Source organism: Homo sapiens, chromosome 13 (assembly GCF_000001405.40).
Source record: "Homo sapiens chromosome 13, GRCh38.p14 Primary Assembly".
NCBI classification, from domain to species: Eukaryota; Metazoa; Chordata; class Mammalia; order Primates; family Hominidae; genus Homo; species Homo sapiens.
Genome location: NC_000013.11, coordinates 95,985,436 through 96,012,576, shown reverse-complemented (window position 1 = coordinate 96,012,576; position 27,141 = coordinate 95,985,436). Strand labels below are relative to the sequence as shown.

General features: G+C 34.8%; 1 protein-coding gene across 12 annotated transcripts in view; it reads left to right on the top strand.

The window, feature by feature from the left end:
• Positions 1-27,141, top strand: part of UGGT2 (UDP-glucose glycoprotein glucosyltransferase 2) — a 251,822-nt gene that overhangs the window by 40,825 nt on the left and 183,856 nt on the right. For 9 of the 12 annotated variants that reach the window (XR_931617.2, XM_047430471.1, NM_020121.4 and 6 more), the window contains exons 6-9: positions 13,270-13,366; positions 16,442-16,514; positions 22,504-22,604; positions 26,145-26,244. Coding sequence is in view for 10 of the 12 variants with exons in the window: in XM_047430471.1 (XP_047286427.1) it covers positions 13,270-13,366; positions 16,442-16,514; positions 22,504-22,604; positions 26,145-26,244 (371 nt within the window). In the remaining 2 variants the exon portion in view is untranslated. Of the gene's footprint in view, positions 1-13,269; positions 13,367-16,441; positions 16,515-18,632; positions 18,651-22,503; positions 22,605-26,144; positions 26,245-27,141 lie in introns of those variants that run through there. The other 3 variants (XM_047430472.1, XM_047430473.1, XM_047430474.1) reach the window with 3 other exon arrangements.

Here is a 27,141-nt window from a genome sequence, read left to right as displayed (position 1 = left end):
CTTTGCCTATTTTTGAATTGAGATTCTTTTTTTCTCATTGGTTTATAGGTGTTTTTAATATATTTTGAATACTAATATTTTCTTCCATACTTCGCAGTATCTTCTCCTAGTGCATTTCTGGTCTTCTGATTTTTTTTAAAAATTGTTTATGACATCTTTTACAAATATTACTTGTGATATAGTCAGATTTACTCAACTTTACCTGAACGATTTCCTTTATGCTGTTATAAGGACATTCTCTTGTAAGAGTTGAAGTTCTATTTTTTGTTTTGGTTTTTAATCCATCTGGAATTTATTTGAATATACTACGGGGTAGAGATATAATTCTGTTTTTTCCATATGAAAAATTATTGGTCTTCACATACTTTGTTGAACAGTCAAGTCTTTATTCTACTCCATCATATGCTAATTTTTCATATAGACATGTATATGTTTTTAGACTTTCCATTCTGTTGCAGTGATATATATGTCTATTCTACACAAAAATAACATCATTTTAATTGCTGTAGCTTTAAAATATATTTTGATATCTGGTAGTTCAACTCTGCTTCTTAATTTTTGTTTTTCTAAATACCTTGGCTGTTCTTGCATGATATGTAGCCATGTTAATTTTAGAATTAGTTGGCCAGGTTCCATGAAACATGTTGGGATTTCATACGGGAATGAATTGGACCTTTCTGATTAATTTTGAAGAGACTTTTTCTTCATATATATTGAGCTTTGCCTTCTATGAACATATTTTTATTTCACAATCTAGTCAGATGTCTTTTTGAAAAGTATCATCTGTGATGTACAATGTTGGGTTTCAACAATCACACAGAGTCATCTGTCAGTCACCTTAGTACCATCATATTCACATACAGATTCTTGTAGGAACATATGTTTTCAATTCACTTGGATAAATGCCTGGAAGTTCTATTGCTGAGTTGTATGGTAAGTCAGTGTTTAACTTCATAATAAACTATACCAAACTGTCTCTCAAAGTGGCTGTACAATTTTTCATTCCCCTTAGCCAGGAAAGATAATTTCGCTGCTCTAAATCCTAACCACCATTTGTTAATGTCAGTTTTTTTTATTATAGCTGTTCTAGGTACACAGTGGTATCTCATTGTGGTTTTAATTTGCATTTCTCTAATGACTAATGAAGTTGTCTGGCTTTTCATAAGTTTCTTTTTGGTGAACTTTTTTTGTTTAGTTTTCAGAATTCTTTTTATGTCCTAGATATAAATCATTTATGAGATACATGATTTACAAACATATTCTACCAGTTTGTGAATTATCTTGTAATTCTCTTAATGTGTTTTGCAGAGGAAGAGTTTTTAATTTTGATTAAGTCCAGTTCATCATTTTTTTGTTTATAGATTATATTTTTTGTATTATATCTAAAAACTCATCACCAATCTCAAGGTCATTCAGATTTTATTCTAAGCGTTTTATAGTTTTATGTTTACACATAGGTTTATGATCCATTTAAGGTTTGTGCAACTTGTGAGATAGATGTTGAGATTTATTTTTCTACATATGGATATCTAGTTGTTTTAACATTTGTTTAAAAGACTGTCCTTCTCCATTGAATTTCCTTTATCCACTTGTAAAATATAATTGACTGTATTTGTATGGGTCTATTTCTGGCTTTGCTTTTCTGTGCCATTGATCTGTCTGTCCCAACATCAATACTACACTGCTTGATTACTTTACCTTGATAGCCTTGAGATCAGGTTGTGTTAGTCCTCCAGCTTTGTTATTCTTTTTCAGAATTGTTTTAGCTAATCTAATTCCTTTGTCTCTTCTTGTGAACTTTAAAATCGGCTTGTCTGTATCTACAAAACATTTTGCTGGCATTTTGATTGAGATTACATTGAACATATAAATTAAATTTGTGGGAGAACATCTTAAAAATATTCAGTCTTCCAATTGAAAATTATGTCTCTTGATTTATTTAGACATCCTTTGATTTCTTTCATCAGTGTTTTTCTTCTTTTTCAACCTATATGCCATTTATTTTTTTTTAACCTTATTTTAATGATTAAGACTTCTAGTCAATGTTGAATGGGGAGTAGTGAGGGAAGATATCCTTGCCTTTTTCCTGATTTGCAGAGAAAGCATTTGGTCTTCTACTATTAACTGTCATATTAGAGGAAGGGTTTATTTTTAATTTTTTAAGTTCTGGTGTACATGTGCAGGATGTGCAGGTTTGTTACATAGGTAAATGTATGCCATGGTGGTTTGCTGCACCTATCAACCTATCACCTAGGAATTAAGCCCGGCATGCACTGTGTAGTATTTCGTGGTGTATATGTACCACATTTTCTTTATCCATTTTACTATTGATGGGCATTCAGGTTGATTTCCATGTTTTTGCTTTGTGAAAAGTGTTGCAGTGAACATATGCATGCATGTGTTTTTATAGTAGAGCAATTTATATTCTTCTGGGTATATACCCAGTTATGGGATTGCTGGGTCAAATGGTAGTTCTATTTCAGGTTCTTTGAGGATTGCCACACTGCTTTAAATGAACTAGTTTACAGTACCACCGGCAGTGTATGTGCATTCACTATTTTCTGCAACCTCACCAGAATCTTGTTATTTTTTGACTTTTTAATAGTAGCCATTCTGACTGATACAAGATGGTATCTCATTGTGGTTTTGATCTGCATTTCTCTAATGATTAGTAATATTGAGCATATTTTTATATGCTTTTTGGCCATATCATATGTCTTCTTTTGAAAAGTGTTCATGTCCTTTGCTCACTTTATTTATTTATTTATTTTAGACAGAGTCTTGCTCTATCGCCAGGCTGGAGTGCAGTGGCGCGATCTCGGCTCACTGCAACCTCCGCCTCTTGGGTTCAAGCAATTCTCCTGCCTCAGCCTCCCAAGTAGCTGGGATTACAGGCATCCACCAACATGCCCGGCTAATTTTTGTATTTTTAGTGGAGATGGGGTATCAGCATGTTGGCCAGGATGGTCTTGATCTTTTGACCTCGTGATCCGCCTGCCTCAGCCCCCCAAAGTGCTGGGATTACAGGCGTGAGCCACTGCGTCCAGCCTTCGCTCACTTTTTAATGGGGCTGTTTATTTTTTGCTTGTAAATTTAAGTTCCTTGTAGATTCTGGATATTAGACCTTTGTCAGATACATAGTTTGCAAATATTTTCTCCCATTCTGTAGGTTGCGTGTTTACTCTGTTGATAATTTCTTTTGCTGTGCAGAAGTTCTTTAGTTTAATTAGGTCCCATTTGTCAATTTTTGTTTTTGTTGCAATTGCTTTTGGTGTCTTCGTCATGAAATCTTTGCCAGGGCCCATGTCCAGAATGGTATTTCCTAGGTTATCTTCTGAGGGTTTTTATAATTTTAGGCTTCACATTTAAGGCTTTAATCCATTTTGAGTTGATTTTTTATATGGCATAATGAAGGAGTCCAGTTTCAGTCTTCTGCATATGGCTAGCCAGTTTTCCCAGCACCATTTATTGAATAGGGAGTTCTTTCCCCATTGCTTGCTTTTGTCAGCTTTGTCAAAAATCAGATGGCTGCAGGTGTGTGACATTATTTCTGGGCTGTCTATTCTGTTCTGTTGCTCTGTATGTCTGTTTTTATGCCAGTACCATGCTGTTTTGGTTACTGTAGCCTTCAGCTTTGTTCTTTTTGCTTAGGATTGCCTTGACTATTCAGGCTCTTTTGTTCCATATAAAATTTAAAATAGCTTTCTCTAATTCTGTGAAGAATGTCATTGGTAGTTTGATAGGAATAGCCTTGAATCTGTAAATTGTTTTGGCAGTGTGGCTATTTTAACAATATTGATTCTTCCAGCCTGTGAGCCTGGAATGTTTTTCCATTTGTTTGTGTCATCTCTTATTTCCTTGAGCAGTGTTTTGTATTAATAATTCTCATTGTAGAGATTCACCTCCCTAGTTAGTTGTGGTCATTAGTATTTTATTTTTATGGCAATTGTAAATGGGATTACATTCCTGATTTGGCTGCCAGTTTGGATGTTGTTGCTGTATAAAAATGCTAGTGATTTTTGTACATTGATTTTGTATCCTGAAACTTTGCTGAAGTTGTTTATCAGGTCAAGGAGCTTTTGTGCAGAGACTATGGGATTGTCTAGATATGGAATCATGTTGTCTGCAAACAGGTATAGTTTGCTTTCTCTTTCCCTATTTGGATGCCTTTTATTTCTTTCTCTTGCCTGGTTGCTCTGGCCAGGACTTTCAGGACTATGTTGAATAGGAGTGGTGATAAAGGGTATGTTTAAGTTCCTTATGTATTCTGATATTAATCCCTTGTCAGATGGGTATTTGTCAAATATTTTCTCCCATTCTGTGGATTGGCTCTTCACTGTGTTGATTGTTTCCTTTGCTGTGTAGAAGATTTTTAGCTTGATGTTAACTCCACTTGTCTATTTTTAATTGTGTTGCCTGTGCTTTTGAAGTCTCACACAAAACATTTTTGCCCAGACCAATGTCCTGGAGCATTTCTTCAATATTTTCCTCTAGTCGTTTCATAGTTTTGGGTCTTATATTTGAGTCTTCAATCAATTTTGATTTGATATTTGTATATGGTGAGAGATAGTGGTCTAGTTAGTTTCATTCTTCTGCATTATGGTTGTTCAGTTTTCATATTGAAAAGACTGTCCTTTCCCCAGTGTATGATCCTGGCATGTTTGTCGAAGATGAGTTGGTTCCAAATGTGTAGATTTACATCTGAGTTCTCTATTCTGTTCCATTGGTGCATTTGTCTGAATATGAATTCTTCCATGAACATGGAATATCTTTCCATTTTTTGGTGTTCTCTTCGATTCCTTTCATCAGTGTTGTAGTTTTCTTTGTATTAATGTAGGTCTTTCACTTTTTTGGTTAAATTAATTCCTAGGTATTTTATATTATTTGTAACTGTTGTAACATTTTCAGAATGTTGTTTGCTATTTGTGTATATAAATAGTACTGAATTTTGTATATTGATTTTATATCTTGCAACTTTACTGAATTCATTTATTGGTTCAAACAGTTTTTTGGTGGAGTCTTTAGGTTTTTCTAATATAAGATCATATTGTTTGCAAACCAGGGTAATTTTACTTCTTCCTTTCCAATTTGGATGTCCTTTATTTATTTCTCTTGCCTTATTACTCTGGCTAAGGCTTCTAGTATTATGTTGAATAAAAATAGTGAAAGGGGGCATTCTTGTCTTGTTCCAGATCTTTGAGGGATGGCTTTCAATTATTCCCTGTTTCCATATGATATTAGCTGTGGATCTGTCATATATGGCCTTAATTATTTTGAGGTATGTTCCCTCTATACCTAGTTTGTTGGGGGGGAGGGACTTGTCAGAAAGAGATGTTGAATTTTGTCAAATGCCTTTTCAGCACATATTTAAATTATCATATGGTTTTTGTGTTCTTGGTTCTTTTAATATGGTGTATTACATTTATCGATTTGTGTATATTGAACTATCCTGTATCCCTGGGATGAATCTCACTTGATCATGGTGCATGATCTTTTTAAGTTGTTGCTGAATTCATTTTGCTAATATGTTGTTGAGGATTTTTACATCTGTGTTTATTAGTGATATTGGCATATAGTTTTCTTTTTTTGTTGTGTCCTTGTCTTGTTTTGGTATTGAGGTAATGCTGGCCTCCTAGAATGAATTTGGAGGTGTTCTCTCCTCTTCAAGTTACAGAGCAGAGTTAGAATTTCCAAGACTGGGGATGGCAGTCCTGCCTTTCCTCTTTGTCTTTGTCCTGAGGCATATTTCTCCCTTTAGACACTCATGATGTTTCCCATGTGTGGTACTATCCCACAGCTCCTGAGTGTTCTGCTCAGTTTCTTGCTGTTGTTTGCTTTTTGGATTTTTTCCTTTCTTTCTCTACTACATTTTCTTCTTAAATTCAATTTGAATAATTTCTATTGACCTGCCTTGGAGTTAACCAATTCTTTTTTTTTTTTTTTTTTTTTTTTTGAGGCAGAATCTCGCTCTGTCACCCAGTCTTGAGTGCAGTGGTGCAATCTCAGCTCACTGCAGCCTCCGCCTCCTGGGTTCAAGCGATTCTCTTGCCTCAGCCCCCAAGTAGCTGGGATTACAGGCACACACCACCATGCCTGGCTAGTTTTTGTATTTTTAGTAGAGACATGGTTTCTCCATGTTGGTCAGGCTGGTCTCGAACTCCTGACCCCAGGCAATCCATCCACCTCAGCCTCCCATAGTGCTGGGATTACAGGCATGAGCCACTGCACCCAGCCAGCCAGTTCTTTCTTTGGCTATATCAAGTTTACTTGTGACTCTGTTGAAGGCATTCTTTATTTCTGTTACAGTGCTTTTAATTTCTATCATTGCCATTTGGCTCCTTCTTACAGTTTTAATATGTGTGATGAATTTTCCTTTCTGATCACTCATATGTTCTACTTTTTTCATTAGAGCATTTAACATGTTAATCATTATTTTAAATTCCCTCCTGAAAGTTTCAACTTCTTTTTTACATCTGATTTTGAAATTGTTGATTGATTTGTCTCTTCAGACTTTTGTTCCATTGACTTCTTGGACATCTTGTGATTTTCGTTGTTATTAAAAGCTCAACATTTTGTGTAGGAGCCTTGACCCTGCCTTTAGTTTAGGCCATGCCTTTCATGTATGCAGGATTGAGGTGTTCTGGTCAGGAGTTGGGTTGGGTTTCACGTTTGTGTTCCACTTGGCTTTAGGTCTCCCCACTTAGATTTGGATCTTCCCTTTGTACAGCTCCCCAAAGACAATGTGTTTCTTATAGCTTTCCCACCTGTATTTCAGCGTTATCTTTACTCAACCCTTGTTAGATTGGCCTTGAGGTGAAGGTGAGGGGGCAGCTAAGGAAGGGGATATTCTCTGATGTTCCAATTAAGTTTCCTTTCTAGGCATACTGTAAATTTGGGCCTCAAGGTTTCTGATCCTCTCTCAGAATGTTGGGCCTGGCAGGTATTCCCGTCCTTCCTTCAGACTAAGACTTTCATCTGTTCCATTTCTCCCGTCTTCAGTGGGCTTCCACCAGTACACTATATAGCTACAATTTTGTTGCCCTTGCCTCTGAAGATTAAGGCTTTGGTTCTATAGGGGAGATAGGTCTGAAGTGGATTTCAGCAGTGATTTTTCTTTCCTCTCTACCTGTCACCATTAGAGTGGAAGCTTTCTCAGGACCTTCCCCAGTCTTCCCTGTGCAAGAGGGTTTCAGCCTTGCTATGTCTGGAGCTACCAGGGGCTTCACACTCTCACGTTAGCCCACATTTAGCCTTTAGCAAGCTTTATAGATTTCTAGCTAAATATCTTTACCAGCTTCACTAGCATTTGGTGGTATCTGTCCTGGGTATTCAAATGTTCACCTTCCCACAGGTGCCTTTTTCTTCTGTTATCATTCTCGTTCCTTCTGCTTTATTTTTTCTTCAGAAAATTTTCTAATACAAAAAGCCTAAAAATAATAAACTTTTTGTATATGCTACCCAGAATTGACAGCTAACATTTTATCTTTTCAAGTTTATTTTTTAATTGAAGTAATAAAACTTTAAAAATAAAGTTGAAGATTATTTTGTTTTCCATTATCAGTCTCATTCTCTACCCCAACACCAATTGGAGTGTTCTTTTAAATAATAAAGTGCTGTCACTCCTAGAGATCTTTCTTCGTTAGATCTGGCACATTGGTTGGGAATATATAGCATATGATTCTGAGGCCCTCTGATATCTGTCCACTGAAGAAAGAGAAAGATGAGACATTCTAGTTCTGAGAGAGGAGGTCATAACTAGGTGGCTGTTTAATAAGGATACAATGCTTATAAAATTATTTTTCCTTGTTTTGAAACATACAATAAATTATTTTTTTGGTTTTATTACATTTTTTTCTGTTCTTTTTTTCATTTATTATTATTATACTTTGGGGGGAGGGGGGAGGGATAGCATTGGGAGATATACCTAATGCTAGATGACGAGTTAGTGGGTGCAGCGCACCAGCATGGCACATGTATACACTAACCTGCACATATGTAACTAACCTGCACATTGTGCACATGTACCCTAAAACAATAAATTATTAACCATAGTCACTCGATTGTGCTGCTGAACACTAGATGTTATTCTTCCTAACTGTATTTTTATACCCATTAACCATCCCCTCTTAATCCCCACATCCCCACTAGTTTTTCCATCTTCTGGTAACTACCATCATTCTAGTCTCTGTCTCCCTGACTTCAAAAATTGGAATGTTCCTAACACAAAGAAATAATAAAATGTTTGAGGTGATAGATATCCCAAATACCCTGATTTGATCATTACATTTTGTATGTTTGTATCAAATTATAACATATACCCCATAAATATGTGCAACTTTTCTGTATCCATAATAATTAAAAATAAAAAATTTTAAAAACAAATATGTTTTTTTTTTTTTTCCTAGAGTTGCTTAGATACCATAGCTTTGCTGCTTACCTGGGGATAGCTTTGCTGCTTACATGGGGAATCCAAAATTTAAGTTTCTTAGTGCTGATTGAAGCTATCTTATAACTTCTGAAAGCAGTAATATATGATTGTAGAGGATGAAAATCTCTTAAGTTACTACTATTTATGAGGAAACTAGGTATTCTTTGAATTAGAAATTTGTTAGAGGAATCTGTCATCTCTTCCTTCTTTCTTTCCTCCATGCACATTTATTAGATGCTGTGTCTGTGTCTGAATTGCTTTGTAACAAATCTTCTCAAAATTTAGTGGCTTAAGGAAATATTGACTTACTGTTTCTCTTTATTCTGTGGGTTGACAGTCGGGGCACTTTTTCTGCTGGTATTGTTCATGCAGTGAGGGTCATTCAGTACTAGATTAGAGCTTGGGGATTCAAATTATTCTGACAGACCTGTGTGGCAGTTCAGGCTGATAGCTGGAGTTTCTTGTCTTTTTCTACATGGCCTTTCATCTTCCAAGAGTTAGACTATGATTCTTCACATCATGATGGCTTAGGGTCCCAAAAAGAAAAGAGTAGAACTTGCAATACCTCTTAAGCCCTATGCCCAAGAACTCATACAGTGATACTTCTGCCACCTTGTGTTAGTCAAAGCAAGTCACAAGGCCAGCCAGATTCAAAAGAATGGAAAAATAGACTCAATTTCCTGGTGAGAAGTAGCAAGGTCACATTGCAAAGGAGTCTGGACATGGGAAGGAGTTACTCATTTGTGGCCTTTATAATAATCTTCCACAAATGCCTGTAATTTGGGCACTGTGCTTAGTACTGGTGATAGAAGATAAGTAGCTTATTTCAGTATCTTAATTTTGTTTTATATATTTGATAATTTTATGATGCAGGTTCACTGTGCACTGGTATCAATCCCAGGGGAGGACTGTAAACACCTTGCCAATACTGTGTACCAGTATCAATCCACTGGCATGAGTCTGGTGAGACAGAACACACAATAAGTTTAGGGAAGCAACTTTATTACTCACAGACAGGCAGCAAGGGACAATAGACACCTAAGGATTCATGGCAAGCTCATCCCCCAAAGCTTAGGATAGCTGTCCAGGATGGATGGAGTCTCACGTGCACGTCATTCATGTTGCACCGCAGCTAAGGAACTCTGAAAGCCTGCTCTGCCCTGGGTTTTATACCTAGGAGCAACTTGATGAGCTGTGCTAAAGCATTGCAAGACATCCTGTTCTAGGAGCTATGGGAACAGAGCTTGGCTTTACTGGCAATTCCTTCATATTTCTTGCATTTCCAGCACATCATTCTACAGTTATTCTGAGATTTACAAGTGAGAAAGCGAGGAAGAGCTGGGTTGCCAAGATCTTTTGGGGACTTGCCCTACAATAACATCATATAAAATGTGTTTTTTCCCTCAGTGTTCTTCACATTCTCAATTTTAATTGTTCATTGTATAATTTTGAGTTAGTTATTGCTATTTAGTAAAAGTGGAAAATCTTAAATATTCTTGAGTGTGTTGGCATATAGATATTTGCATAATCTACATAAAGATTATCTGTAAAGTGAGATGTAAAGAGAAAGTGTGGGTGTGTGTACAGTTTGTAAATGATTACATATTTAAGTCATTAATTTCATAAATATTTGGATGCCTCTGTGCCAGGCATTGGTTCATGTAGCAGTGAATAAGAGAGAAACATTCCTTATTCTCAGAGAACTTCAATTTTAGTGGCAAGAGATGTAAAACAGATTTATGTTAGATGGTGATGAAAGTGTTTTCAGAAAAGATAAATATAAAAGAAGAGGACAGAGAGTCATGGGTCTAGAGTGTGCACTCAAAACATTTTATATTGTCTAATCATCTTATGCCAAGAATTCTCAATTTTTCCCAACTGAGTTTGCTAGAAGGATGGATACATTACCATCAATAACAGTAGCACCTTAAGACTATGATTCTCTGTCAGATAAGGCAGAGCTGAGAGGCAAATGAGAATAGGAACGGGAGTGGGAGATACAAGTACAGTTTACCCTTAAGCATGTGTGAGTTAGAGATACTGACCCCTCATGTTGTTAAAAAATATATGTATAACTTTGGACTCCACTAAAACTTAAGTAGTAATAACCTACTGTTGACTGGATGCCTTACTGATAACAGAAACAGTCAATTAACACATATTTTTCATGTCACATGTATTATTCTGTAATTCTTACAGTAGAGTAAGCTAGATAAGTAATGTTATTAAGAAAGTCATAAGGAAGAGAAAATATATTTTTCATTAAATAGAAGTGGATCATCATAAAGGTTTTTATCCTCATAGTCATGTTGAGTAGGCTGAGGAGGAAATGGAAGAGGAGAGGCTGGACTTGCTGTTTCAGGTGGCAAGGTGGGAGAAAATCTATAAGTAACTGTCTATAAAAGTAGATATCTATAAAATATCTGTTTCTTGTAAAAATTTATAAGAAAATCTGTAAGTAAACCTGTGCAATGAACCTTGTTGTTGTTAATTGTCTGTGTTTGTCTTTTTTAAATGTTCTCCCAAGTGGTTCTAACATGCCCCTGGGGAGCTATGCCCATCTGTTGTGAGAATCTGTCTCAAGTTATTATTTAGAGTTTCATGCGCGTCCGTGTGAAGAGACCACCAAACAGGCTTTGTGTGAGCAACAAGGCTGTTTATTTCACCTGGGTGCAGGCGGGCTGAGTCCGAAAAGAGAGTCAGCGAAGGGAGATGGGGTGGGGCCGTTTTATAAGATTTGGGCAGGTAAAGGAAAATTACAGTCAAAGGGGGTTTGTTCTCTGGAGGGCAGGAGTGGGGGTCGCAAGGTACTCAGTGGGGGAGCTTTTTGAGCCAGGATGAGCCAGGAAAAGGACTTTCACAAGGTAATGTCATCATTTAAGGCAAGGACCGGCCATTTTCACTTCTTTTGTGGTGGAATGTCATCAGTTAAGGTGGGGCAGGGCATTTTCACTTCTTTTGTGATTCTTCAGTTACTTCAGGCCATCTGGGCATATACGTGCAAGTCACAGGGGATGCGATGGCTTGGCTTGGGTTTGGGCTCAGAGGCCTGACATAGAGAATGTGACCATTAAGTGTGCTTCTGTGAAATCATATTAACTATCTGGGCATTTAGTAACATCAAATTATAGCCTTATATTTAATGAATGACATCTTTTATGTTCAAAATAACTATAATGTAAATCTAGTCAACATGTAATTCTAATAAAAATAGACATATTTATGCTACATTTTTAACATATGCCTTTTTGTGGGGGAAATAGAAAAACAAAGATTTTTTTTTTTAACCTGTTGATTTGGTAGTTTGGTTTGCAAATCCAAACTTACTAAAACTACAAAATTACAATTCAAATTTTATATCAACACACTTCCAAATGAGGAAAGTAAATATGAATTTAGGAACATTTTTATTACTGAGGAGCTAATAACTTTCCAGAACTGATAATGGAAATTGGCTATGTGAAATTGCATTTCTTTTATGAACTATAACAAGATATACGGCCTTATAGTTTCGATTCACTTAGCCACCAACTGATTGGTCTTTTGACTAGATATTCAAAATGTAGTTTTAAATTGAGCTGTTATGAAATTGAAAACTCTAAAAAATTTTCATCTTTGTCAGATTACTGTAATTAGAAATAACCCAGTTTCTACATGCTATCTTTCATATAATGTGGGCCTGAGAAATTAGCAAATTAAATTTTAGTGTGGGCAGCAATGTTAAGTATTTGTCTGAATAGCTGAAGCTAACTTTTACATATTCTTACCTGGAAATAGAACAGGCCAAAGAACAGTCACTCTGGCCATATACATATCAATAAGGCTTGGTAGAAAGTTTAGGGAGGAAAGAAGAGAATACAAAGAATAACACACTACTAAAGTTCTCCTTCCCTCCAATCTCTACCTTTTCCTCTATCATGCAAAACTGTCCCTGTGCAAACCTGAATTAAGCAAAGACACATGGCTTCTTCCAGGGAGTTTGCTGAGCTCTAGGTTAAAGTTGTTTTCTAACCCCTTGAGATGTGCCAAATGATAATGGTTGCAGTACAGCCAACAAGAATTTCAGTCTGGAAGCTGGAACAACTTTAAAACTATTATGTGTGTTCATCCAGGTTTCTTCCTTTTGAATAAAATATGGTGACTTCTCTTGTTTGATGAGGTAATCTCTAGGAGTACATTTAATATTTGCCCTTTGTAGAAAGAATAAAATAAAGGTACTAAAATTCTGATCATAAACATTTCAGACCACTCTGTTTTAGTGAACTGTAGCCCCTTATTGCAAGAACAGATGTTAATTTGTGGCATTTGGTATATTTTAATCATTGAGAAACAAAGAAAACTTTTATCAGGTATTTCACGGCACTAACTTTTTTTGTCTCCTTTGCCACTACTTTCCAGTGTTTGCTTTTGGCAGCACTCTAGTCCTACATCTAGACAACCAGCAAGTGAAGAGGATTTTTGGTTTAGCAAATCTTTTGGGGGTCCCCAAAAAGGAAAACAGTTTTGTTGAAACTTGTCTGTTATTGGATCCTCTGTTTAATTAACTCATTGAAGACATGTTATAACAGGAAAAGATCAGATATTTATTATTTTAATTGTAAAAATTAAAAAGTAATTAAAACAGTAGTCATGACAAAGTTTTTACAGAGTAGTCATTAACCAAATTCTAGTTCCTTGATAGACTAGAGACAATATAAACAACCCCCAAATTTTTCAGAGTGATTAAAAACCTTCAATATTAGTAATTTACCCTTATGTCCAAATACATCGTGGTACTGACTTTAAAACAAAATGTTTGACTAACTCTTTTCGCTTTTTATAAAATAAATGTGTTTGAACAGAAACCAAGCTCACGGAAAATGTACTTATCTGGGTATGGTGTGGAGCTAGCAATTAAGAGTACAGAATACAAAGCACTGGATGATACCCAAGTTAAAAGTAAGTTCTCTATCTCAGTACTTGAGTAGAATGAAAAGTTGGAGGCTTTTACATACTTTAGTTTTTTAAAAATTTAATGAGTATAATCCTACATATGTTCATTTGAGGCTAGAGATGGGGTGGACATATTCTTCATTAAAATTTGGAATTAAATTTTCAGCTGAAAGAAATGTATTTAATATTATTGGTTATCAAAATTTCTTTAAAAATATGAAATCGTATGTTATTTTGCTGATACCCGATGGGCTCCCAACCATTTCAGCACCATGTAACAATTGATAGTATATGTAAGGTACACTGTGGCAATAGATGAGGCTGATTATTGCTAGAGGTGACTGGCATAGGCATCTGGGTCTCGCCCATGTAAGGAAGTTTTGTCTGAAATATTTATTTGAAATGAAATTAGGATGGTAGTTTTTTTTTTTCTATCCTGAAGCAGGATGAGAGAGTCCTATGAATTGTTTAGATGAAGTAGATTCATTAGATTTGTGATCTACTAACCAATATCTATCTGTATTTTATGAACTAAATGCATACTCTAGATGAAGAGACTCTGAAGACTTAAATAAACTAAACAAGTTCTCAGAACACTTATGGAAGTCTTTTATTACCTGGTTCATGTCAAATTTATTTATGCCTGATTCTTGGTCAAGAGTTTTATGTTTATTCTCTATATGCACTCAGATGAGGCTCCTGCTTCAACTTTGTTTTTTCATATAGAGGCCCTGCCTTGATCACAGACTTCTCTCTGGCTCCTCCTACTGAATGTGCTTCAGATAAAGATCGTATTACTGTAATTTAAATATTTTTGGTTAAAGAGTTACTGAAAAAGTATAGTAAAAATAATACTCTGATTTTATGTATTTCTCTATAGCTTGTGTATAGCTCTACAATGCTTTATAATTTACTCTCTTGTAGTCACGATAGCAATTTAAGGCATTTTTAGCTTTAAAAAGTCAGATGGTCACATATGTATCATCTGTATTATTATGCACTGCATTCTGTCATCAACCTTTTACACACACTTGGAATATGTCTTCGCCTGTCAATTCTAGTTGCCACTCCTTAGTGCAGTTCTTTTTTTCTCTGTATACATGTATCAGACCTTTAACTAGCCATCTCTCTGATCTTAGGTCTTCAGTGCCCTTAATCTCACCACCCCTCAAAACAGATTAATCAATCTAATCTCCACAGTACTTTCCAAATGAACTTCTGATGTTGAAAATCTGACTTTGTGATTCCACTGGTTAAATCCTTTAGTGGCTCCCTATAACCTCTCTCAAAAATTCAGAACATAGCAAACAAAGCTTTTCACAATCTGATTTCTTACTGCCTTTTTACTGTCCTTCAGCCCTCTCTAATTTGTGTCCTCTTGCCTGAAACACTAAACTACTTACTATTTAGAATAATTTTCTGTTCCCTGGATGCTTTTATGCATGGGCTCCATGGGAAGTCTTTATGACCTCTCCTACATTCATCCCTTAGCATATGCTGTTCCTTTTGCCTACCGCTGTCTTCACTTCTTTCATTTCTTCTAAAGACTTCACATCTTTTTCTTTTTTTTCCTGAGATGGAATCATTGCTCTGTCACCCAGGCTGGAGTGCAGTGGTGTGATCTCAGCTCACTGCAACCTCTGCCTCCCGGATTGAAGCAATTCTCTTGCTTCAGCCTCCTGAGTAGCTGGGATTACACGCGCCTGCCACCATACCTGGCTAATTTTTGTATTTTTAGTAGAGACGAGGTTTCACCATGTTGGCCAGGCTGGTATTGAACTGACCTTGTGATTCACCCACCTCAGCCTCCCAAAGTGTTGGGATTACAGGCGTGAGCCACCACACCTGGCCAGACTAATAAATATATCAGTCTGTGCCTCTGAGATGGCTGCCTATCTTGCTGCTCTGTTAGAGAATGCTCTTCTCTTTTCTATATCCCATATCTTTCTGTGCCTTCTTTTAGAAAAGTTCATGGTCTGTATTTTTTGTGTCTCTGTTGTTCTTGGTGTCTATCCTGTCATAGACACCTCATAGTAAGCAGTCAATAAATGTTTGCCCAATGAATGAATGAACAAACAAGAGGAAAAGGATGACTAGATCAAAGTACCCAGGGTTGCTTTTACTTATAGTCCTAGAGATTCAGAGTCTCAGAAAAGTAAGAAAGAGTAAGCGTAATTGCTGAGCTCTGATAAACTCTGATAGAGAGCCACCCCACACACTATAAGAGGTCACAGTCTTTATGATCCTAAAGCACCCTTCACATATTACACCAACCAGACTGTATAGTATAATTATTTGGTATGTAAGGGAGAAGGGAAATGACTATAAAATATTATATCTTTATTCTTTGAGACCATGAGTTTTGGTGTCTTTCTAAATGTTCCTTGATTATCTTTAAAGGTGTTGGAAATATGTAGGAACTCATATTTAAACTTAGGGTTTGGACCTCCTGCCTCACTTAAAAGCTAAACCCAGCATTTGTTACAGGCCTTTTGGCTTATTTCTGATTATGAAATAGAACTTGACTATTAACTAATCTATAAAGCACTTTATTATAGTTGCTAAGTATTTAATCAAGCATGTTAAAAAAGATAGCTCACACTTAGGAATGTTAGCCTGTACACATGCATATATATGTATTAATCTGGTCCATGAAGGAAAAACAAGGTAAAACGAATGGAATTTCATTTCATTGTGAGTTCTAATTTTTTTTTTTTTTTTTAGACACGGTCTTACTCTGTCACCCAGGCTGGAGTGCAGTGGCACGATCTCAGTCCACTGCAACCTCCACCTCCCAGGCTCAAGCCACTCTCCTGCCTCCCAAGTAGCTGGGACTGCAGGCGCACACCACCACACCTGGCTAATTTTTGTATTTTTAGTAGAGACAAGGTTTCACTGTGTTGGTCAGGCTGGTCTTGAACTCGTGAGCTCAAGTGATTTACCCACCTCGGCCTCCCAAAGTGCTGGGATTACAGGCATGAGCTGCCGCACCTGGCCAAGTTCTTCTAATTTTTGATTACATGTTCTTTTCCCAGTCTGAAAATATTTTTGTTGTTTTTTGGTTTTGTTTCCAAAATGTAGCTGTGACTAATACTACTGTAGAGGATGAGACTGAAACAAATGAAGTTCAAGGATTTCTCTTTGGGAAACTAAAGTAAGTCTGAATGGAAATGAAATTGGTATTATTATACCCATTGGTTTTTAAGGAATTAATTTGATATACTGTTTTGCCATATGCTTCACCTTTCTTTTATGTAGAAAGTACAAACACACACACATACGATTGTTTTTATTTATTACAGAAGTAACACATGGCTAATGTCAAAAAGCTACAGAAAGCAGAAAAGCACATTTAAAAATAATCACTAATTTCACAATTAAAGAGATAACTCATAATGTTTTGGTGTACAGTATGTTTTTCCAGTCTTTCTGTGAATATTTTTATAGCATCAAATAAATGCATACACAACATATTGTTTTGCACAGTAGAACCATAGTGTGTAGCTGTTTTTTTCACATCTTGTGGATAGTCCATCATTTATTGAAACAGTCCCATAGAACAGGACTTTAAATTCTTTCCCTACTTTTTCATTTAATTTTTTTTTTGTGTACCAGTTTGTGTGTATTGCAGATTTTCCTTAGCACAAATTTCAGGAAAATAGTTGATAAAGTATATGTGCTTCTTGAAATTTTTGATTCATACTTGTAAACTACCCTCATAAAATTGTACTAACATGGACACTCACCCCAGAATGTGAAATGTGTTCACTTCCCAGAACTTTAATTAATAACCACTCATACTATTTTTAAAATCTTTTTCAGTTTAATAAATGAAATGTTGTTTCTTTTTTTAAAAAAGTGTATTTAATTCACTGGATTGAACCAATTTTATAATTTGTCTCCAAGAAAGTCAACTATTGGCAGTCTATTATTGCAAGGATTAACTTTTTTTCATGTTTATTGGCCTTGGAATTTCTTCTTGAGTAAATTGCTTATTCCTAACTTGTGCTCATTTGTTCTTGCTGTGTTTATCTTTTTTTACTAATTATAACAGCTCTTTATAAAAAATTCTGAAACCTTTGCCACATATTGAATTACTTACTGTCGAAGTTTATTTTCATATTAATCTTAAAGATGGAAGTTTTTTTCATTAGATACAACTGTTATGTTTACATTGAGAGTGGGATTTTATTTCTGAAACTCTGGTGGTATCCCTGGGATAACTAGAAAATTTGAAATTTAAGACTTTCGATACCTATGGTTGGTAACTGTTAAATATGCATGTTTTTCTCCTTTTACCCAGAATAAATTATTTGTCCCATAAATAAAGTTCATTTATAGAATGGCTAAACCTCAAAGACATGAAACAACAAACATAAGGCAACAAATAAATTGTTAAATATTTATTAGCCTTGTAGCATTTTTTGATCCTGTTCTTCATTTGCACTATATGGTGCTATCACCATACAAATTATGATTTCCCATATTCGAAAGTAGTACTTTTCTTTATTCTAACACAGCTGCCATAAAAGTCAAGTAAATAATTGGTATAGTACATACTTGTTTAGGAAGTTTTTAAATTTGGAGAGAAAAAATAATATAATTTAGTAATAAAGCATTTTAACAATTCATGGAATATAATAAGCATTAATGTGTTTGTTAAACATGAATAAAATAAATGAAAATTATAATTATTAAGTTATTATTTATTAAAATAGTTTCACAAAATGCTGCCAAGAAAAAACTGCCTAAATTGAATTTCTTTTGAGGAAAAAAATTAAGTAAATCATTATTTTTTAAAATAAATATTGTAATAATGTTAGCTAATATTTACTATTTTTAAACTCAGTGTTATTTTTACTGTTTTTTAATAAATTAACTTGGCAAGCTGTGGTAAATATTCCTCTTTATTATATTGGTTTCTTTATTTTTAGGGAGTTCTAATACATCTGACATTCATAAAGTATGAGATACTTAAAATCACTTTTCATATGATAAATTTGACTTAGTGTGCTTAGAGAAACAGGAGTTGATAAAGTTCTGACAGAAAACTAAAAACTTTATAGAATCTAGAACTTTACTGATCTAATGAGTTACAAAAATCATTGATAATATTGGACCTTTAGCTTGAACAAATGTATAGCCCCAAAGAAAAGAAAACGTTTATTACTCAAATTTTCTGTACTACAGATTACCATTTCATATACATATATAAGTAAGCTTTCAAAAATTAAAGTTATACCCCCCCCTTTTTTTCCTGCCACGCTGATTGAAGACAAGGAATAGCATGGTGAGTGCTCTATGAATACTCATGAATGGGGATGGCTGTAATTTCATGTACATTTTCCCTTATTTACAAGTGAAAGTTTATGATTTCTTTATCCAGGCAAAATTAATTAAAGAAATATTTTTATTAACACCTTTAGTTCTTGTTTAGTATTACAGTCATTTATGAAGGACTCTCAGGGTGGTTCTCCTGGTGATGAGTAGATAACTATAGACAGTAAGGATAAGATTTTTGGAGACTATGCTAATTTATATGGATAACTATGTTACATTTTTAAAGTATGTTGGCCAGTCAGTATACTCTAGTGGCCTTAAAATGTTAATACAGCTTACAAAATGGTTTTATTCTAAGTAAGGTATTTATTTAGCAGCTAACAATACATTTTTATCCCATTTTCAGCTATCTCAACATCTTGGAATTTATAGTTCTTTTCTCTTTTGAATATAACTTTTTATGGGATTAAATTGCATTTTCTCCAAAAGATCACGTGGAACACTGGGCTATTTTAATTTTAATTTAATTTTATTTTATTTCAACTTCTATTTTAGATTCAAGGCATACACGTGCAGGTTTGTTACATGGATATATTTTGTGATGCTGAGGTTAGGGGTATGAATGATCCCATCACCCAGGTAGTGAGCATAGTACCCAACAGGTAGTTTTTCAGCCCTTGCCATCTTCCCACTCTAATAGACCCCAGTATCTATTATTCCCATCTTTATGTTCGTGTATACCCAATGCTTAGTTCTCACTTATAAGTGAGAACACAGGGTATTTGGTTTTCTGTTCCTGTGTTAATTCACTTAGGATAATGGCCTACCGCTGCATTCATGTTGCTGCAAAGGGCAGGATTTTCCATGGTGGTATATGTATCCCATTGTCTTTTTCCAGTTTGCCATTGATGGCACCTGGGTTGATTGCATGTCTTTGCTATTGTGAATAAGTGCTATGATGAACATATGAGTGCATATGTCTTTTTGTCAGAATTATTTATTTTTCTTTGGGTGAATACCCAGTAATGAGATTACTGGGTTGAGTGGTAGTTTGAAGTTCTTTGAGAAATCTCCAAACTGCTTTTTGCAGTGGCTGATCTAATTTACATTTCCACCAACAGCATATAAGCATTCCCTTTTCTCTGCAGCCTTGCCAGCATCTGTTACTTTTTGACTTTTTGATAATAGCCATTCTGACTGGCGTGAGAGGGTATCTCGTGGTTTTGACTTGCATTTCTCTGATGATTAGTGATGTCGAGCATTTTTTCATATGTTTCTTGGCTGCTTATATGTTTTCTTGTGAGAAGTGTCTGTTCATGTCTTTTGCCTAGGAAACCCTAAAGACTCCGCCATAAGGCTCCTAAAACTGATAAACAACTTCTGTAAGTTTCAGGATACAAAATCTGTGTACAGAAATCAGTAGCATTACTAAAAGCCAATAATGTTCAAGCTGAGAGCCAAAACAAGCAGGCAATCCCATTTACAATAGCCACACACCAAAAAAAGTATGTAGGAATACATTTAACCAAGGAGGTGAACCATCTCCACAAGAACTACAAAACACTGCTGAAAGAAATCATAGCTGACACAAACAAATGGAAAAACATTCCATGCTCATGGATTGGAAGAATGAATGTCATTAAAATGGCCATACTGCCAATCTACAGATTCAGTGCTATTCCTGTCAAACTACCAATGTCATTTTTCACAGAATTAGAGGAATCTATTCTAAAATTCATATGGCTATTCATTTTTTTTTCTTTTCTTTGAGACGGAGTCTAGCTCTAGCTCTGTCACCCAGGCTGTAGTGCAGGGGAGCCATCTCGGCTCACTGCAACCTCTGCCTCCCGGGTTCAAGCAATTCTCCTGCCTCAGCCTCCTGAGTAGCTGGGATTACAGGCGTCTGCCACCACTCCCAGCTAATTTTTGTATTTTTAGTAGAGATGGGGTTTCACCATGTTAGCCAGGATGGTCTTGATCTCCTGACCTCCTGACCTCGTGATCCGCCTGCCTCGGTCTCCCAAGGCTATTCATTTTTAAAAGGGAATACTCAAAATTAGTCTTCCACAGTGACTCAGTGACTGCTCATTTCAAAGCAAAAATCCTTTGAGGTACTTTATGAATAATATATATGTTGCCTAAATTATATAAAGAATTTTAGCAGTGAAAGTTATTAAGATGATGATTAAATATGAAAATTGGTATAGTAGCTCTTATAAACTTATAATCTGATAACTTAAAAATATTGAAAAAGGAAATGTTTGCTTAATTCATAGTGAACTTCTTTTAGAAAGAAATGCCATTGTACTTTTATTATCATAGCAATTTTGATTTGTTTTCAAAACATGATCCCACATTGTAGTAAACCTGTAAGATATTGACACTGTACTATATATATTTATTCGTAACTATAAGATTACCATATTTATGTATATTCTGTATTTTTTATTTCACTTTTCAAAGGCTTGTCTATTGACTATTGAAAATACGTGTTTTCAATGAGACACCATCTCACACCAGTTAGAATGACAATCATTAAAAAGGAAACGACAGATGCTGGAGGGGATGTGGAGAAATAGGAAGGCTTTTACACTGTTGGTGTGTGTGTAGATGAGTTCAACCGTTGTGGAAGACAGTGTGGCAATTCCTCAAGGATCTAGAACCAGAAATACCATTTGACCCAGCAATGCCCATTACTGGGTGTATACCCAAAGGATTATAAATCATTCTACTATAAAGACACATGCACACGTATGTTGATTGTAGCACTATTCACAATAGCAAAGACTTCGAACCAACCCAAATGTCCATCAATGATAGACTGGATAAAGAAAATGTGGCACATATACACCATAGAATACTCTGCATCCATAAAAAAGGATAAGTTCATGTCCTTTGCAGGGACATGGATGAAGCTGGAAACTATCATTCTCAGCAAACTAACACAGGAACAGAAAACCAAACACCACATGTTCTTACTCAAAAGTGGGACTCGAACAGTGAGAACACATGGACACAGGGAGGGGAATATCACACACCGTGGCTTGTCGGGGGTGGGGAGCTAGGAGAGGGATAGCATTAGGAGAAATACCTAATGTGGATAACGGGTTGATGGGTGCAGCAGACCACCATGACACGTGTATACCTGTGTAACAAACCTGCACGTTCTACACATGTATCCCAGAACTTAAAGTATAATAAAATGAAAATATGTATTTTGTAAGTTGTGCTGATAGTAACTTTTTTAAATTGTATTTCTCCATTTAAATCTGAAATGGCACCATGTCTTGATTTCATGAGTGATAGAGGAAAGAAGATTACAGTTTAGATTGTGTGTATAGTAAAATACCATTCTACTACATCATTATTTGGCTCTCTAAAAGATGCCTAGAGATGTTTAACAATGGGTAAAATTATCTTATTTTAGTTTTTTATAAGAATCAAAGATGGAACTTTTCAGAAATAAACTCTGATTGTATGAGGCATTTTTGACTTTCCTTATAGTTTTTATTTTCAATTATAAAAGCAAGGCTTGCAATTTATAAAATGTTAAACAAAAAGTATGTAATATGAAAACATAAGTCTGCCCTCATCCTTGCATCGCTTACAGTTGACACTAACAATTGAGAGTATATTCCTCCAGATTTTGTTTTGTTTCATATATTTAATAAAAGAGACCTGTATATCTTCCTCATTATTTTTAAGTTCCGTGAATATAGCTGTATCACAATTTATGATTATCTTAATGATGAATGATTCATTTATGTCTAATTACATGGAATATGTAATTTCAAAAATATGCTGTTTGTATAATGGTTTGTGATAGGTGATGCTACTTAACATCACTTAATATTTTGATGCAGAGAAATATATTCAGATCTTAGAGATAATCTGACAGCATTCCAAAAATACCTGATTGAGAGTAACAAACAAATGATGCCTTTGAAAGTCTGGGAACTACAAGGTATAGTATTTTGAGATACTTTAACACAGCATTTTGGTAACTGATCTGTTTTGTTAAATAAGCTTTTATATATCACATGATATAGATTATTTTATGGACAGTATTAATGACTAGTGAATAATATAAATTATGATTTTTTGTGGCAATACCTATTTAACAGATCATCCCTCAAGCAAGCTATATTTTTATATTTGCAAGACTTAAAATTATATGAAGTGAGGTTATTCAATGTTATTTCAAAAGTATATACTGATTTATAGGTTAGTCTCAAGTATTAAATCACATTTGTGGAGACTATAACTGATTAAAAGTCCTAACTCCTAGGTAAGGAGAAAATGAAACTTAATCTTGGTTTTCTTCTTTTTGAAATTTAGATCCTGTTAAGACTATTGCATGTTTCATTGATAAATGTTTAATGGAAACATCAAATGGAGGACATGCAGTTTTACAAAGTTAGGAACAGCTTCTGTACTGAAAACCTACAAGCAGATATTTTGTGAACAAAATTTGATTTGGTTTGAACTTTTAAGTACTTTTCAATTTATAATTTTTCTTCTTTATTTGTAATGATTTAGTAGGTCATGGGGACATGTCATCTTTCTGCATAATCTAACTTTTGTCATCTTTTATCAACTTTTAAAAATATAACAGCTTAATAAGCTCTTTTGTTAAATAAGCTTTTATATCTCAGATGATATAGATTATTTTATAGACATTAGTGATGTAAATAATGACATTACTATAATAATACTATTCATACTAATACGTTCACATACTATTCAATTTGCCCTTTTAAATTCTACCATTCAATAGTTTTTAGCATATTTTTAGAATGCTGCCACTCTTAACACAGTTGATTTTAGAAAATTCTCATCATCCCCCCAAAAAACTAACACCCTCATTAGCAGTCACTCCTCATTTCCCAACTCCCCAGTTGTAGGCAACCACCAATCTACTTTCTGTTTTTAAAATAACAACTAAAAGGATATTTACAGGCCACTCTCACTAGTATAACTTACTTATAACATACAAATAATATTTTATATTTCATCTGGATTATAGTTTACAGAGTCCTTTCATATAAACTATCTTATTTAAGTGCCAGTTACCACACAGCTAATAAGTGAAGATTTTGGTCCAAGTAAAATTCTTTATACTGTACCATATGGTATCTAGGTAAACTTTATATACACTTAACAGAATATTGAATGTTACATTTTAAAATTATAGCAGAATGTGCAAGACACAATCTATTAAGTTTTATAACTTCTGCTATTCTTTACCTACCTAATACAAATGTTGTATCAACTAAGCCCTGTATCATTAGAAAATCAATATATCAATAGAAAAATCATTCAGCAGAATGAGATTCAAGGCCATTGTTATGATAGATTTACTGTAAAGAATCTACCTCTTTGAACTGATAGAATCTATTCTCCCTGGACCCTTCTGGTGTACAGTTTCCTATTTAATGTCTCATCTAGACCTCATGCTTAGACCTCCTTTTATTATACCACAGCCCTTGTGACTGTTCTTTCACTTGACATCATGATAACACTAAACTGAGGTAGTAGTTTCAAATTCATTCTCAATAAGGTTACTGAGATAATCTTTCTAAAATGAAAATCTGATTTTGGCCTTGTGTCAAATCAGCCAGGCTTTATCACTTGTACATCCCTGATCAAATAGTGGCCTTACATTAGTCCCCACAGGAAAATGTTGGCACACACAAACTAAAAAGTTTAATAAAGGGACTTTTTACAGAGACAGGCATGATTGAGGGAAACCAACAAGGAATGGATTATTCGATTCCAGTATTTGCAACTAGATGGAAACATTTTCTACCCCTAATCTTGAGGGAGCAAGAGGAGAGAGTGGTTACCAAAACCTGGAGAGTGTGTCGAGAGAGCTGCTTGACACAGCAGTAGTACCCCGAGGGACTGTCCTCTGTGTATCAAGGAAGGGATCTGGGTAGTAACTATTCCACTCCTTACTCTTTTCTTGCTTACTGATCCCATATTAGTTACTTGGATTGGCTGAATCTAACTAGAAATCTGAGGGCAAGGGAGCTTATTGATGCAGTTCAGATAGGCCAGCCTTTTGGGGGCCCGGAGCAGGAAAGAGTGGATGCGGGGGGCAAACAAAGTATGCAGTCCTCTTCTCTGAGAAAGTTCTGTTTTTCCAAGGTAAATACTTCTGGAGAGACTTCGAATGTAAGAAGGGGTTGATAGGACTAGCTAGCCAAGTCATTTGCATCATTAAGGACTGATTTCATGCACATCCATTAAAAGTATTAAGTTTAAACCCCTTAGCATGGTTTGTGAAGCTCTTGTCTAAGTTCTAATAGAGCTTATATTCCTAAATCCATAATTTCAGATAGTCTCTTTCTAGTATCTTCAATTATTTTTAGATCCTTTTTTATGTCTCTATTTTAGCACTTTTTAAAAAGTATAATTATGTTTTAAGCCTCCTTCAAAATGTTCTCTAAGGGGCCTTTGCATAATTTAGAAAAGTATAAGTGATGGGGTGTTTTTGAAGGCCTTTAAGCAAAGAGTATGCATAGTCAGCTTAGTTCTAGTTGACTCCCTAATGTCTGTGTAAGATGTATTTCAATGGACTAAAAGCAAGAAATCTAGGTAGACATTACTGAAATAGTGATAGAAGGCATATAAATATTTAGAAGGTGAAAAGGAGTCAAAGATAATTCTAGGATTTCTAGCTTGAGCCTGAGTAGAGAGAATATATAAAACATGTAAGCAGACTTTGGGGCTGAATATGGGACTCAGAAATAATGAGACTAGTGTTGAAAGGTTGATTTAAAGTCATTGTAAGATATCCAGATGGTTAGGTTCAGTGGTGGGGTGAGTATCCTGTCCTTAAGCTAAAGGAGAAACAATCTGCCTCACTGTTGAGGTAGGTAATGAAAGAATTTAGTTTTAAATCTTTTCTGACTCTTGACAAAGTAATAATACTAAGATGAATTCTTCTGACATGTTTGAAACTAACCACAGTTAGCAACACACATTTTTCTTTTTATAGGATTGTCATATCAGATAAAATAATACTAAGTTTAGGATTTTATTTCAGCACAAAGGTAAAACAATGTTGAAAGAGAAATTGAATGTTTCTATTTACTGAGTTAAACACAGTGGAGCTTTCTTAGAGGTCTTTTCAGAATTGGCTCTTTAAAGCTCTTTTTACTCCTCTTCATTATTCTTTTGACTTTTTGTCATATGTTTCATTTAAGTATAGAAAAAGCTTTGCGAGAGCATTTCTTTTCATATATCTCTCTCGAAATTATACTGTAATTTGTGGAAACAAGAGGTATTAAATAGTCATTCATAAAAGTATAAAGCTTATATTTGGAAATAAGTGATAACTTTACATTTAAAACTTTTTAAAAATGCAGATGTAACAGTATTAACATGTTTGTATACTAATACTTGGCAAGAAGAATTGAGTCAAGTATTTCAATTTCATGGAAATGTCTATAAAGGTCTAATATTATGCTAGATTCCTTAATAATATTTTTCCTTCCAGATCTTAGTTTTCAAGCAGCTTCTCAAATAATGTCCGCTCCAGTTTATGATTCCATTAAATTAATGAAAGACATTTCACAGAACTTCCCCATAAAAGCCAGGTATGTTAAAGTTTATAGGTTTCATTGCAGCTATAACTCTTTCTATTAAATGAGTTTTATGAAAATAGCTGATTTCATTTAACATGAAGGTGTCAATTAGTTCTAGTATATATAGCTTTTGTGAAATCAGGGCCTTTTCAATATATATATATTTTTTGATTAGAGCAAAATATTGGCTTGTGCATACATGTGTGTATGCACTGTAAGGTAGAACTCTTGTTAGAGGCAAATAGGAAAAAAAGTCCTAAAAAATTTTCTAAAATCATGCATAGTAATCTAAGGAAAAACTTGTTTAAGCAATAAATAATGAAGGAGTGTTTTTTCTTTCCCTTATGGAGGATGATAAAAAGTATTACTCTAAGTAGGAGGTCTATGCCCAAAGTACTGCCAAATCATATTCTTACCCTTTCAGAGTCCAAATGATTGGTAATGTCTTAATTGGATGAATATTGTGTGGAGTACTTTTTTGCCAAGAGGATGTCTCGTTGAACTGCTTCCATGAATACTGATGTTACATTAAACATATATTCCATTTCAATAGGAAATACATTTGCATAGCTTAAAGAGACCGGTGCATGCAATGCAAGTTACCACGTATTATGAGAATTTGCTATATAACACAACTTTGATGCAATTGTATTCTGGTTAGGGATGACAGAGTATAAAATTAGCAACAAGTAAAATATGAGTTAGCTTATACTAAAGAGATAAAATATGTGACAAGTCGCAGTGCATGGGCAACAATGGTGTTTTACTGAGAGGAATTGGAGAGCAGTCTACTAGCTTAGCATACCTTCCTAAGCATAGAATGATTGCTATGCCTCTTATTGTCCCAAACACTATTTTGTACATTTATTCATCATACAGATTACAGAATCTTCAATATATGTATTCTTT